This window comes from Homo sapiens, chromosome 1 (assembly GCF_000001405.40).
Source record: "Homo sapiens chromosome 1, GRCh38.p14 Primary Assembly".
Taxonomy (NCBI): Eukaryota; Metazoa; Chordata; class Mammalia; order Primates; family Hominidae; genus Homo; species Homo sapiens.
The window spans coordinates 232,488,521-232,504,435 of NC_000001.11; the positions used below are offsets into that span (position 1 = coordinate 232,488,521).

At 41.0% G+C, this 15,915-nt stretch overlaps 1 protein-coding gene across 11 annotated transcripts in view; it reads right to left on the bottom strand.

The window, feature by feature from the left end:
• The window catches only part of SIPA1L2 (signal induced proliferation associated 1 like 2), a 232,532-nt gene that overhangs the window by 90,556 nt on the left and 126,061 nt on the right, over positions 1 to 15,915 (bottom strand). For all 11 annotated transcript variants that reach the window (NM_001377488.1, XM_017001896.2, XM_047426142.1 and 8 more), the window contains 2 exons: positions 5,007 to 5,140; positions 2,354 to 2,542 (listed from right to left, as the gene is read on the bottom strand). In NM_001377488.1, the coding sequence (NP_001364417.1) occupies positions 2,354 to 2,542; positions 5,007 to 5,140 (323 nt within the window). The remainder of the gene's footprint in view (positions 1 to 2,353; positions 2,543 to 5,006; positions 5,141 to 15,915) is intronic.

A 15,915-nucleotide genomic window follows, 5' to 3' on the forward strand; every position in this document is an offset into this window, starting at 1 on the left:
ACCATTAAGAGTTTTAGGGAGTTAAAATGGCACAGTGTGCTTAAGTTTGAACATCGTTAAGAAAGTATACCAAAGTCAAACAAATATAAAATCTAAAGAAAAGCCCATGAACTACTACTAGAGATACGAAATGCGTGGTTTTATCAAAGCAGAATCCCATTTTCTAAATACATTCATTGACATCAGACTGTAAATAGGTGTTCAGCAAAAATACTTAAAATGCCTGGTTTTTAGAACTGCCTCGGATAGCTTCTAGATCTATCTGACTACAAAGACATTCGAAAGGAGCTTGCACTTGATTCAGAAGACAATAGGGGGCCATCAAAAGTTTTCCATTAGGATGTGGCAGATCAGAGCTATATTTTAGGAAGATTCTTCTAGTAGAAGAAAGGTAGCCACATTCACTGATGCCTAAAATAGGCTGATGAGGATAGAGACTGATGGTTACATCAGTCAACTTGTAGCTGCCATGATGTCTCTTTTCACTGCTCGGTAAAAGAAGCCCTAAATGGTGGCAGTGGCAGAGCCCTGAGGGCTTCTGGGGAACATGAACCATCTGTAAAACTTTCTAGAGCAGCCTCGGGGGACCAAATGAGAGCTTCATCCACCAGGCACCTGCTCTGTAGTACAGTGATATATTTTAAAGGGAGAACTGACATATCCTACAAAGGGATCAAGAACTACCTACCACATGGGTGGCAAGTTCTTTTCACCAACTCTCTTACAACATGCAAATGAATGCTATTCTTCTCATCAAGCCTGCCTGAACTTTAAGCACTTTCAACCCACCCCGATGTATCCTCTCTATCCCGCCATAACATGTTTTCATCAACTGTTTCATGAACACTTCATATATTGTTCATATATATGTTTCATGAACATTTCATATATTCCACATACTTTACCAGTCATAATGGTAAACCTATTCTGTGTATTACGCAATTTAAAAGTCACCTGCTCAAGTTTAGAGTATGGTTTTTTTTTTTTAATATGTCAGCTTTCATTCCTGAGACAGATCTCAAGATTATTCATTCTGAGTGTTACAATATCTGCTTCTTTTTGCTAATAATGCAGTGTTAACTTGTTAGACCAATTAGTTTCATCACTTTTAGAATTCTAGCCATCTGCGGTGCCAAATATTCAACTTTAACCACAGTATTATTTGGTCAACCAAGAAATACCTCATATTCCCTCTAAAACATGCAGAAGAATCCTACTTGGGAAATTCTAAAAATATACATTGTCACTGTCTTTTTAAAATCATGGCTTTACAAACAAATCCACTGGTTTAAAATAAGTTGCATGCACTTGAGCATGTACTGCTCAGTTTCCTCTATGAGTTATTTTGCACCTGAAACTTAAAGACCTTTTTTCCATATTCTGAACCACCATCTCAATCCTGTTCATCATTAACTCTCTCCTGGACAATGTCAATAATCACATAATTGATCTCCACATAGCCATCAGTCTCTATCTTCGGCGGCCTGTACAATTCCCTTCTACCAGAATAATCTTCCTAAAATACAGCTCTGATCACGTCACATCCTAATGGAAAACCTTCAATGGCTCCCCACTGCCTCCTGAATCAAGGGCAATCTCCTTGGCCTAGCATACCAGGTCTCATTTGTTCTAGTCTCGTCTTACTTCCCCTACCCCACCCCACCTCACCACCTCTCTTCTCTTTGTAAAGAAACTAGTCATAGTTCCTAAAACAGCAACTACTCATGTCTCCCTCTTAGAATTCTATCCAAGTCCAAAGGCCTAGTTAAAATGCCACCTCTTCAGGAGAGTTGCCCAGCCAGATGTTATTTCTTCTTTCCCCAAGGTACTCACTACATTTACACCTCTCCAAGATCTCTTACCAGATTCTGCCTTGGAGAGGCCTTTCTGCTCTTAGTCTTACTGTCCTCATAGGCCAGGGACTAGGTCTTAGTCAGCTTCAATCTTCCTAACGCTTGCTGTTCACACCCATCTGTCAGCATGATGCCTTCCACATAGTAGACAAGAATAAATGTTGGTTCAGGAAAAGGGCCATAAGAGATTTTTAAACCCTGGAAAAAAACTACTATTGACTTCTATTAATCATGCAATCAGATGCACTCTTGCAAGCTGGGACACACCAAAACCTTGGTAATAACAAAAAAAAATCACAACTCAGCAGGAGGTGTGTTATACTATAATGGCATCATGTTTCCAAACTAGTATAAAAACATATTTGGGAAAAACTAAAGAGAAAATGTTCTAAGGCATTTAAAATAAATGATCTTACAAGAAAGATGGATGGGAAAACTCCAAAACTTTCAGAAACAGACACAAATTCACACACAAACATACAATCTCACATTATACACACCCCTTGTTCATCAAGCTTGAGCAGCTGCTCTGAGACCTTGGGTGAGTTGGAAGCCTGTCGCAAACACTGAATGCTCAGCTCTGGAATGACGTATTCCAAAACTTCTTTGAGAGGTAGTCCTCGTGCGGTACCATGCCTAGCAGTAGAGGGTATAGCATCTTCTAAAATTGCTCCTCTCAGTGTTGTAAGCTGCAGTGACAAAACATAAGACTTCGGTTAATATTGATTCTCAATTACCTACTCACAGCCTAACTGTTTGGCTGCCTTAAGACAGGAAAAAGAGAAGCAAGGCTCTTTCTGAGTGTAGTGAAAGGGGCGACAGTGTTCCATTTAAGGAAACAAAATCAACACTCAAGGAGTCTTTAAACAGTAACAGTATACAAAGATCAGGAACAAGCCAGGCGGAATGGAAATGAGCAGATGTATGCCTAAGAATGAGAAGAAGCAAGGCAGAGCAATGCTATGAAAATTAGGACATTCCTACAACTCTGAACCCACATGAGAAGGTTCACACAGAGAGGAAACCAGACATGATGATCCTGGACCTGACCATGATCACCCTTCTTCCATCCTCCCTTTCTCCCATCTCTCCATCTTCTTTTCTTCCACTCCCTTTCTTATCTTACATTTAATTTTCCATAATGACCATTCCCGAGGCTGAACAGGGGAGCAGCAGCCAGTGGTATCCATGGGCAGGGTGATTCAGGGCTGAGAAAATTGCCACTAAATTTTGTCTCATGACTTTTTAGATGTCCTCAAATTCACCACAGAAACATGCAATGAATATTTGGAGCACGTGCCTAAGATCTAATATGATGAGAGAGAAAACCCCAGAACCATAAATCAAGAGAACTGGTTCTAATCCAACCTCTCTCTGACTCTGGTAAGAGTCCTTAGACTACTAACACCAGGAGCTGGGGTGATGGCAGTCATAAGGATACCTAACGTTTGCATAATGTTCCATAACACTGGACAACAGAACTATCTGCAACGAGGACAATGTTCTCTATCTATACTAATACAGGAGCCCCTAGCCACATCAACTATTAAACACTCGAAATCACTAATGTCACTAAGGAAAAGGATTTCTAATTTTGTTCAGTTATTTTAAATTTAACATTTAAATTAAATTAAGTATTTAAATTTAATTTAAGTAGCCACCTGTGGCTAGTGACTACTGAACTGAACAGCATAGGTCTATAACTTAAAATATGTCACTTTAGGAGAGGGGCTTTATCTCACTTATACCTAGAATAGAGCCTAGGTCACTGGGACACCTACGTACTAGATAAGATGAACAGGGGTACACATGTTCATGCAGCTGGAAACTAGAAAAGGGCTCTGTGTTTTCTCTGATCTAGAAGCAGTTAACCAAAATACATATTCTGGAATATCTCCCAAATATATATCCCTCTAATTAAAATGAGCTAAAAGGATAAAACCTAAAGTGCTGGACAGATCTAATTCTTTTCTTTTTTAAGAGATAGGGTCTTGCTATATTGCCCAGGCTGGAGTGCAGGGCCTATTCACAGGTGTAACCATACTGCCCTACAGCCTCAACTCCTGAGCTCAAGCCATGCTCTCACCCCAGCCTCCTGAGTAGCTGGGACAATAGGCATGTGTCACCATGCCCAGCTTCAGACTTAATTCTTTATATAAATCAATATCTACCTATTTAGCTATACATGTTGTATAATTTATACAAGAATCTCACTTTCCACTAAAAGCAAGACAAGCAAGAATCTAACCTGGGTCCTCAATGTAACAAAGCGTGGGTAGTAATGACTGTCCTGCTGAGTTTTGGACTTGCATGGGGCCTGTAGCCTCTTCGTTTTGGCCAATTTCTCCCATTTGGAACAGGAACATTTACCCATCCCTGTACCCCCACTGCATCTTGGAAGTAACTAACCTGTTGTTGATTTTACAGGCTCATCAACGGAAGGGACTTGCTTTGTCTCAGATGAGACTTTGTTCTGTGGACTTCTGAGTTAATGCTGGAGTGAGTTAAGACTAGGGGACTGCTGAGAAGGAATAATTGTTGCAATGTGAGAAGGAAATAAAATTTGGGAGGGGCCGGGGGCAAAATGATATGGGTTAGATTTGTGTCCCTGCCCAAATCTCATGTCAAATTGGAGAAGAGGCCTCGTAGGGGTGATTGGATCACAGAGGTTGAATTTTCCCCTTGCTGTTCTCATGACAGTGAGTGAGTTCTCACAAGATCTGATGGTTTAAAAGTGTGTGGCCCTTCCCCCTTTACTCTCTCTCTGTCCTGGTCCACCATGATAAGATGTGCTTGCTTCCACTTCACCTTCCGTCATGATTGTAAGTTTCTTGAGGCCTCCCAGTCAGGTTTCTTGTTAAGCCTGCGGAACTGTGAGTCAATTAAACCTTTTCTTCATAAATTACCCAGTCTCAGGTGGTTCTTTATAGTAGTGTGAGAATGAACTAATACAGCCACTTAATATCCATGGCATGTTTCCAAATTTTTCATTTAGAATAAAATACTGCAATGCCCTTTTTAATTATCTTAAATGTTGCAATCATTAACATTAAAAAAAAATAAATTCAGTACCCTATCTAAAACAAACTGAAGCAGTAACACCAAAGGAGGTTTAGACTTTAGCCCAATAACTACGGCAAGCAGCCCCATTACCTCACTTGTCCTGAAAGCCACCCTGTAGTTGAACTGGGATCCTTCTTTCTCCTTGGCATCTTCCACCTTCTCTCTCCGGATGCTGACTGCTACTGGACCAAGGTTTTCATCTATTCCAAAGTAGTTTTGGTGCTCTATAATGGAAGAGAGAGGGTGGCATCAAAAGAATGAAAAAGGAACAAAGAGCAGGATGGATATCTCTCAGTTTGTGTATCAAATCTCTGAAGAAATACCACATAGCTCATACACAGTGATTTCCTTGTATCTGTTTCATCAAGTCTTCTGGTTTCCAGTTCGGATGCACGCCTACATCTCATTTTCAATTACTTCCTCCTCTCATTCTGCTTTTCACTAGTTCATGAACAGCAAAAGCCTCCCTAACCCAAAATTGTTATTTTGTGATCATGTGAATAGCATCATCAGAAAGAGGTATTGTCATTCTTAGAAACTGTCAAAAGAGGAACATGGCTACTTGTAGAATCAATATTGAAAACAGTTTCCCTCCGTCTGGGAAAGTCATCATCTTTTACCGAATGAGGGCACCAGAGATGACCTAAGTAGCCACACAAGCCAGCCAGATTAATCTTGGTGATCAGTGGTGTAGCTAAGATCGCCTTTTCATTACAATGTCGCTAAAACAGCATAATGTTTATAAAGCTTATAATGTTCATAAAGTCCAGGGCACAATTTAGCAACAGAAAATACACAAAAGGTCAGTTAGTTTCTAAAGTCAAATTTTATCCACAAATCCTATAACTTGGTTTAAAATGTCATCAGCTAATCATTGCTTTCACATAAAATCACTGGTCCATCTACATGGAAAGGGTGGCACCTGAGGCCATACTGTCCATCTAACACACGGATCCCTCCAGGACATCTTTCCTAAGAGATGGTCACATTTGTCTCTTCCTCGTATGTGCAATCACTATGTGTGGGCATTGTTTCAGCCATGGGAACATGGGGAGAACATTCCAGAAAATAGCCGCTACTTATGAAGCAAATACTCTATTCTGAACCCTTCAAATGACATGAAGCTTACTGCTCTGTGAGCAACTCCCTTTAGACTGCTGGTTTCTTGTCTGTGAGCTCTGTTAAAAGCAGCCAAAGTATCTCATTGCAACTTTCAAACTTTTTAAATGTTTCCTCTGAAATGACCCGAACTTAACACAACATTCAAGATATGGTCCAATACACAAAATAGTGGGAACAATTACCCAAATGCTTATTAATGCAGCTTAAAAATTTATCTATTTTTAGCAGCCCCATCACACCAATCATTCATGTGAGCAGGTGGTAAACGCAAACCTCCAGGTGTTATTCATTTATTTCTTAATGAACTGCTGCCAGGTCCATTCTCCCAGGTGTAGCCTCAAAAAATCGATTTTTTTTCACCCTGACTTAAGGTTTTGGCTACAAAGAAACATAATACAGGGAACATCTGCAAACTTGAAGGAAACCTATAGGTATTCCAAAGGCTTTTGGTTATGCCAATGCTTGCCACAATGATTTCTGAAGGAATAAGAAACGTTGCTGAGAAAGTAGAAAACAGAAAGAGATCAGCAAAGGAAAACAGCACCTGAATCACTCAGAACACACACTATCCAAAGCCACTAATGAATACTGGCTAGACCTTCAAAAGGCAAATCATTTACCTATTTGCTGTTTGCAACCAAATGGGATTAGTACTGACATTATTTCCCTTTAGAGTCAGGGGTAGAAGCAGCAAGTAAACTATTTTAAAAGATGAAAGGTGGGGGCCGGGCACGGTGGCTCACGCCTGTAATCCCAGCACTTTGGGAGGCCGAGGCGGGCGGATCACGAGGTTAGGAGATCGAGACCATTCTGGCTAACATGGTGAAATCCCGGCTCTACTAAAAATACAAAAAAAATTAGCCAGGTGTGGTGGCAGGTGCCTATAGTCCCAGCTACTCGGGAGGCTGAGGCAGGAGAATGGCGTGAACCTGGGAGGTGGAGCTTGCATCGAGCCGAGATCACCCCACTGCACTCCAGCCTGGGTGACAGAGCAAGACTCCGTCTCAAAAAAAAAAAAAAAAAGATGAAAGGTGAATTATTGATATGGTATATAGTCCTAGACTTGCACAAAAGGAAACTAGCCTATTTGTTTTAGTGGGTAATAAATCCCTTATGCTGCATAATGCTGCTTTGGTCAGCGACGCAACACATATACCAATGGTGGTCCCATGAGATTATCATGAGGCTGAAAAACTACTATTGTCTAGTGATGTTACAGATGTCATTACATGGGAATCCAACATATTACTCAAAGCCAAAAAAAAGTTCAGAAAAGTAAATTCTTTTAAGTAGAAAAAAGCTTACAGAATGAGAAATAATAGATACAAAGAAAGCATTTTTGTACAATTGTACAATGTGTGCATTAAGCTAAATGTTATTACAAAAGAGTAAAAAAGTTAAAAAAATAAAGTTATAAAGTAGAAAAGTTACTGTAAGCTAAGGTTAATTATTAAGTAAATTTTTTTATAAACGTAGTGTTGCCTAATGTAAAGTGTTTATAAAGTCTGCAGTAGCATAATGTCCTACATTAACTCACTACTCAATCACTGACTCACGCAGAGCGGATTTTAGTCAGTCCTGCAAGCTCCATTCATGGTAAGTGCCCTATACAGGTGTACCACTTTTGATCTTTCATACAGTATTTTTACTATACCTTTTCTATGTTTAGATACAAAAATACTTACCACTGTGTTACAACTGCCTACAGTATTCAGTACAGTAACATGCTGTGCAGGTTTGTAGCCTAGGAGTAATATGCAATACCACAGACGTACAGGCTATCCCATCTAGGTTTCTGTAAGCACACTCTACAGCATTTGCACAATGATGAAATTGCCTAAGGATACATTTCTCAGAACATATCTCTGTTCTTAAGCGATGCATGGCTGTATTGTGTACTGATAATGGCTAAGGTAACTATTACAAACATAAAAAGCTCCAGTGACATTAAGCATACATAAACAAAGATCTGGTTTTAAGAAGAGCTGATCCAGAAGCAGGCAAAAAAAAAAAAAAAGATATTCAATGAAAGACTAAAAGTTAATTGTCTACTTCAGACTACTAAACTAAGTAGTATACTGTCACTATATTAAGCTGGCATTAGTGATTACTGGACCCATGGCAGTAGATCCAATGGAAAATGCATTTTTAAACTTAAAACTAAATCATTTTGGAATACTCTCAGTTGCAGTTAGTTAACCATGCTGACAATAACTTTCGTTTTTCCCTCAATGGGCCAAATGCATCATAAGCCAAATGCATTAAGAAAAATATTAACAAAGCACACAAAAATACAACAGTCATAAGACAAAAGCTTCCTTCTTATAACACATTTCAAAAAGTTACTTGCAAAAATACTCAATTCTATATTTGGTATTTGATGAGCCCCATAACAAGATCCAAAAGAATTTCAAATTATTGTAGGGAGTACAAAAGTAAATACATAAAACTACCTTTTATGGTAAGATAGAGAGCCCCAGATTAAGAAAATCAAATCACTAATTCTAATACATGACAACATAAAATGATCATATGTGTACTGCTCTCATACTCAGCAGGTGCCACAAGGACAGAAAACAGAGCCATGGCTGCCAGGGGCTGGAAGGGAGAGCAAAGGGCCAACTACAGAGGAGGCATGGGAGAACGTTCTGAGGTCACAAAGCTATTCTACACTGATTGTGGCAATGGTAACACCATATTTACTTCTCAAAACTCTCAGAAGTGCACATTTTAGAAAAGTCAATTTTACTGTACATAAAATATACCTTCAGTTTTAAAAACTGGAGGGAGGCAGAGTCGATGGGGGGAAGGGCCAGTGGTCCTTGCAAATGGACCGGGGCCTTCTGCACAGACAGACGCCATGACCATTTCACTCCCCCACAGCCTGTCAGTGGGGACAGTACCTATTCCTCAAGTCATCATCCTTCTCTCTCATTACTGTTTCCTTAATTACTATTTAATCCTCAATCTGCATCAAACTTTCTGCCATGCTATAGCTCCACTCAAGGTCTTGTTGCCAAATTCAACTATCTTCCAGGTCTCCTCCTGCCAGAGCTGTCTGCTATATGACACTAGTGGCCACTCACTTCTTGGCTGGGGCCCTCTACTCCTCCACTACTATGGCATCTCCCTTCCAGGTGAGATTGCTTTCTGGTCTTTCATTCTGGGTGTCTGGCATGGCTCCTCCTCTGGCCTCTCCTTACAGCATGAGTGTTTCTCAAGACTCCAGCTTGATTCTGTCTCTGTCTTTATACTTATATGAATGTCTATCTTCTATCTTTCCAACTACTTACCCATCTTCTCCTTTACATTCCTCAGTGATATCATCCCAAGCTTCCTCCAGGCTCTTCTCTCACAAATCCCCTGACTCACAAAGGTCTAGGGAAGCACACTCCACCGTTCATGGAACCAATCCTGCTCCCTCTGCCTGGAATGTCTTCCACTTTTCTTCACTTGACATTCTTCTTACTCATGATTCAAGACTCAATCCAAACATCATTTCCACTGGAAATACTCCCCTCACCTCCAAAAAGGCCAAATCCTTCCAATTTTGCATCCCAAGGCCCTAGTGTTGTAGTGCCTAATAAATGACAGGTGCGTAATAAACTGTTCTTGAATCACTGACCTAAAAGTAGACTCCTCTGGTATTGTCCAAAAGTAATGGTTATATCTGACCTCAAGCAGGAATATCGAAATAAAAACAAGGAGGTAGCTCATTTCATGCCAGGAAGTGATAAGACAGTGTGAAGCATCTTGGAGGCTGCAGCAGGCATTTCTCTCAGTGACCGGAGCAATACAATTTCTTGAAGTATTTATAAAACTGAGAACTTATATATCTATTGGAACTTACATGGCAAGAGACCTATCATGTCCTACCGCTGTAACAAATTTCCAAATTTCTAAAAACTTCTGGCTTAAAACAACTCCATTTACTGCACACAGCTCTGGAGCTCAGAAGTCAGTTTCAATAAGCAAAAATCAAGGTTCTGGAGTGACTGCATTCCCCTGGGCAGCTCTAGAGGAAAAATCCATTTCCTTGCCTTCTCCAGCTTCTAGACCTACATTCGTTACGTTTCTTGGCTCATGGCCCTTCCTCCATCTTCACAGCAAGCAGCCTAGCATCTTGTTTCAGTGGTCACATTGCCTTTCTCTTCTGTAGTCAAATTTCCCTCTGTTTTCCTCCTTATAAGGACACCTGTGATTGCATTTAGGTCCCAGCCAGGTCCCGCCTGGATAATCCAGGATATCTCCCTATCTCAAGATCCCTAACTTAACCACAACTGCAAAGTCTCTTTTGCCATGAGGGAGTGTACACAAATTCCAGGGATTAGGACCTGGACACCTCTGGAGTCCATTATTTAGCCTTCCAAATATACTTAATCCACTTTAATTCACTTATTCAAATGTTGAACAGTGGATGTCTCAACTGTGTGCCAGAAACTGATAAATACTGGGGATACAAACATAGCCTGCTTCAAAATGTTTTAGTGCCGTGGGGGTAATAATATAGGAAAGAGACAAAAATTACACTCATCAATTGCCCTACTTTCCCTGGAGACACAGTAACATTGAAATTAGGCCAGATAATAACCCTACAATGGCCCCTAAGAGTTAAAATGAAAGAAGAGTCACACCTGTTTCACTCTAAATGAAAAGCTAAAAACGATTACGCTTAGTGAGGAAGGCATGTCAATAGCCGAGACAGGCTGAAAGCTAGGCCTCTTGAACCAAACAGTGAACCAAGTAGTGAATGCAAAGAAAAAGTTCTTGAAAGAAAGTAAAAGTGCCACTTCAGAGAACACACGATTAAGAAGCAAAACAGCCTTACTGCTGATATGAAGAAAGTCAGAGTGGTCTGGATAGAAGACAAAAGCAGTTACAACACTCCCTTAAGCAAAAGCCTAATCCAGAGCAAGGCCCTATCTCTCTTCAATTCTATGAAGGCTGACAGAGGTGAGGAAGGTGCAGAAGAAAAACTGGAAGCTAGCAGAGGCTGGTTCATGAGGTTTAAGGTAAGAAGCTATCTCCACGCGGTAAGTGCAAGGTGAAGTAGCAAGTGCTGATGGAGTGAAGCTATACCAAGTTAGCCAGCAAGTTATTTAGGTAAGACAACAGATGACAGTGGCTACGATAAACAACACACTTTCAATACAGATGAAACAGCCTTCTAATAAAAGAAGATGCCATCCAGAATTTTCATAGCTAGAGAGAGGATGTCAATGCCTAGTTTCAAAGCTTCAAAGGATAGGCTTGACTCTTGCTAGTGGCTAACACAGCTGGTGGCTTTAAGTTGAAGCCAATGCTTATTGATCATTTGGAAAACCCTAGGGCCCTTAAAAATTATGCCAAACTACTCTCCCTGTGCTCTAACAGCAGAACAAAGCCTAGATGACAGCACATCTGTTTACAGTATGGTTTACTGACTTTTTTTTTTTTTGAGACGGAGTCTCGCTCTGTTGCCCAGGCTGGAGTACAGTGGCACGATCTTGGCTCACTGCAAACTCCACCTCCCGGGCTGACGCCATTCTCCTGCCTCAGCCTCCCTGGTTTACTGACTGTTTTAAGCCCACTGTTGAGTACTAGTTCTGAGACAAAAAACATTCCTTTCAAAATATTACTGCTTATTGACAACGCATCTCATCACCCAAGAGCTCTGACAGAAATATATAAGGAGATTACTGTTGTTTTCATGCCTGCTAACACCACATTCATTCTGTAGCCCATGAATCAGAGTATTTCTGGCTTTTAAGTCTTATTATTTAAGAAATACATTTTGTAAGGCTATAGCCGCCATACATAGAGATTCATCTGATGGATTTGGGCAGATAAAATTGGAAGCCTGGAAGGGATTCATCATTCCAGATGCCATTAAGAACGTTTATGATTCATGAGAGGATGTTAAAATATAAACTTAACAGAAATTTAGAAGGTGGCTCCAACCCTCGTGGATGACTCTGAGGGATTCAAGAGTTCACTGGAGGAAGTATTGCAGATATGGTAGAAATAGCAAGAGAACTAGAATTAGAAATTGAGCCTGAAGATCTGATTGAATTGCTATAATCTCATGATCAAACTTATACAGAAGAGGAGTTGCTTTTTATGGATGAGCAAAGAAAGTGGTTTCTTTTGATGGAATCCACTCCTGGTGAAGATGCTGTGAACGTTGTTGAAATAACAACAAAGAATTTAGAATATTGCATAAACTTGGTAGATTCAACAGTGGCAGAGTTTCCAATTTTGAAAGACGTTCTACTGTGGGTCAAATGCTATCAAATAGCATCGTATGTTACGGAAAAATCTTTCCTAAAAAAGATTCAATCAATGTGGCAAACTTCACTGTTGTTTTAATAAATTGTCACAGCCGCCCTAACCTTCAACACCCACCATCCTGATCAGCCAACAGCCATCAATGTGGAGGCAAGATCCTCCATCAGAAGAAAGGTTGACTTGCTGAAGGCTCGGTGATTGTTAGCACTTTTTAGCAATGAAGTATTTTTTTTTTTTTTTTTTTTTTTGTGAGACAGAGTCTCGCTCTGTCGCCCGGGCTGGAGTGCAGTGGCGCAATCTTGGCTCACTGCAAGCTCTGCCTCCCAGGTTCACGACGTTCTCCTGCCTCAGCCTCCTGAGTAGCTGGGACTACAGGCACCCACCACCACACCCGGCTAATGCAATGAAGCATTTACATTAAGATATGTACACTGTTCTTTTAGATATAGCACTATCTGCATAGTAGACTACAGTATAAACAACTTTTATATGCACCGTGAAACCAAAAACATTGTGCGACTCACTTTATTACAATATTCATCATATTGATGTGGTCTGACACTGACCCTACCGCATCTCTGAGCTGTGCCTTGTTAGGCTGGTCAGGCAGGGTCCAGCCATAAGACAGGTGCATCTTCTTCTTGGGCCAGTGAGTGTCCCAGGGAAGGCACCTCCAGTCTCCTGTCTAGAAATATTGAGCCCAAATAATGGGGTGGGGCTGAGCACCTCATTGTGTTGACTTTCACTAAGTACCCACTTTAGTTAAGTGCCTTAGTCCTGCCCTTTGCTGGGCCTGTTGTTCCATTTCTCCAGAATAAATCTTATTTCCCACCTGAGAGAGGGGCAAATAGTAAACTGGCTACAGGGGGAGGAGAGAGAATCTGGCCTTTTATAAAGCATGTAACCAGCCCTGTTTTCACTCCCCTAAGCCCTTATCCAAGGGTGCCTGGCTCTGTGGCATGGCCTGACTCACTTCTTGATGGCCTCTACCCTCTTCCCGTGACCACCCATGATGGGGGACGCAGGAGGCCGGCTCTCTCAATCTACTAGGAGTGGTCTTGCTCTTCTACCTGCTTTCATATACCCTGCCTTCCTTCGGCTGCTTCTCCCTGGAGCTTTTTTACTTTGTGGCATTATGCCCATTTTTTAAATTCCTTCACTGTCATTTTTATTGGTATTCTGGAAGGGGAAGAGATAACATGTTTTCAATTTGCCTTATTTAACCAGCAGTCTCAAACCCATTTACTGTGCAATGTTATAATTATAAAAAGCTTACTTACTGGTTGCCTAATCTGGGCTTTGATACTTATCACGTGCTTAACCTTGGGTTAGTTACAGACCCTTTCTTAACCTCAGAATCCTCCCGGCTCCTAATGTATCTAATCCATATAACACCATCATTGACCTGGGAGGGGTATTATAGTTGACAGCAGGCATGTTACTGGCAAAAAAAAGAAATCAAAACAAAAGAGCGCACATAAAATAAACTGCATCATCGAGTATTTTGATTTTGAGCCCAAAACTCCGGCACAGTTCATGGGTCAGCCTGAAGGTGATTCCCACTTTTAATCTCAAAATGCTGACCCAGAATCACCTGAGAGGTTACACTGCACTCACAGAAGTCTTTTTTAAGAAGTGGTGTATATACTTCACTGAGTAATTTCTATCATAAATTATACTTTTAAAAGTTTGGGAATCTAAAATTTGTATATTCCCCTTTTTATCAAAGATGGCAGGTGAATTAAAAAAAAAATTCCCTTCATGCCTACCTTGCCAATCTATGTCACAGACCCATTTTCCTCTTTCTGTCTCACACAGACATCCACTTTCTTATTGCGAACACAGAGATGAAGTTCCTGCTGTTTACAAGCATCACACCTGCAGACTCACAGCTTTTATGCCTCCTAACCATCTTCTAAGGGCTCACAATGCTTTTGGTTTCACCAAAGAATACAGTAGGTTACCTGGATGTGTTTCCAAAGAAATCAAAATCTTCTATTCAATAATGTAAGACGCTGCCTAGCTTTTATAAAGGGCATCTCCACATACCATTAGGACATACAGAGACTGTGCCCCCTCCCATAACCACCAGGAGGGAAATAGTTGCCCTTTTCAAATGATATCCTGCATCCCCCTTTCAGGAAAGACCTCCTTGTTTATCTGCATGGCAAGAGGCCCTTCCCATCTTGGGCAGAGGACAACGAGCAAGGCTTCCCAGGGTTGTGTGCATTCAGACCCTCACCCACCCAGAGTCTGTTCTTATTCCGGGCAGAAGATTTCCATAAAATTGCTTCAAGGGTGAATCAAATGAAATCCTTCCTTGGCAGAACAGAAGGTATGAAAAGACTGTTGAGAAGCTGAATGAAAATCCACCTATCATGCAAATACAACAGGGCAAGATAAAAAAAATCAGCTAACAAGATCGCAGTGCAGGAAATGAAGATGAGATTTAGTGCATTTCTGTGGTGCATTGTAACTGTTCAGTAAAGAAATAAATAATAATTTTAGCTCACAGGGAAAAAAAATGGGGGCAGGGGTGGTACATTGGACCCTAGCCCAAAAGCTGTTTCTAGATACGGTGATATCTTAGAAGAGAGGTTTAAGTGGTAACTCACTAATGAATTGACCAGTTAAGGATCACAACTCTGCAGGGCCTCCTGAGGCCAGGTACGTAAAAGACATTCACTCACTGCTCTGCCTTACAGGATTTATCAAAGCTGTTAGCATCCAGTGACCACAGCACCATTTATAAGTACACCAAGGCCACAAACAACTGTGCACCTGTACCTTCCAGTCCTTTACTTTGTTAATATGCACAGCAGAAGCTAGCTTGCTATTTTGCCATAAAATGCATTTTAAAGGTTCTTTGTTCTCTCAACCACTAGTTGATCATTTAATTGCCTACTCTCTGCTGATCTGGGTTACATAGGCAGTTAAATGCTCTTTCAATTCCTATCTATGATGTATCTTCTTTCACCTTTCTCTCCAAACAATTATGTGTATTTTAAATCACTTCCCTTTTTTCGAACACTCTAGAGTTATTTTTTAAAAAGTGAAAAGGGGACAATAAGTAAGTAAATGAGGGCAGGGCATAGTGGCTCCGGCCTATAATCCCAGCACTTTGGGAGGCAGAAGGAGAAGGATTGCTTGAGGCCAGGAGTTTGAGATCAGTCTGGGCATCACTGCAAGGCCCAGTCTCTACAATAAACCTAAAAAATACTAATAAATAAGCTGAGTGTGGTGGTGCATGTCTGTAATCCCAGCTACTCAGGAGGCTGAGGCAGGAGAATCGCTTGAACCCAGGAGGCAGAGGTTGCAGTGAGCCAAGATTGTGCCACTGCACTCCAGCCTATGAGATGGAGTGAGACTCCATCTCAAAACAAAAAATAACAACAACAACAACAACAAAAAACCACAAGAGTAATTCAACAGGCCGGGAGCAGTGGCTCACACCTGCAATCCCAGCACTTTGGAAGGCCGAGGCAGGTGGATCACTTGAGGTTAGGAGCTCAAGACCAGCCTGGCCAACATGGCGAACCCCATCTCTACTAAAAATAAACGAACTAGCCAGGCATGGTGGCGCATGCCTGTAGTTCCAGCTACTCGGGAG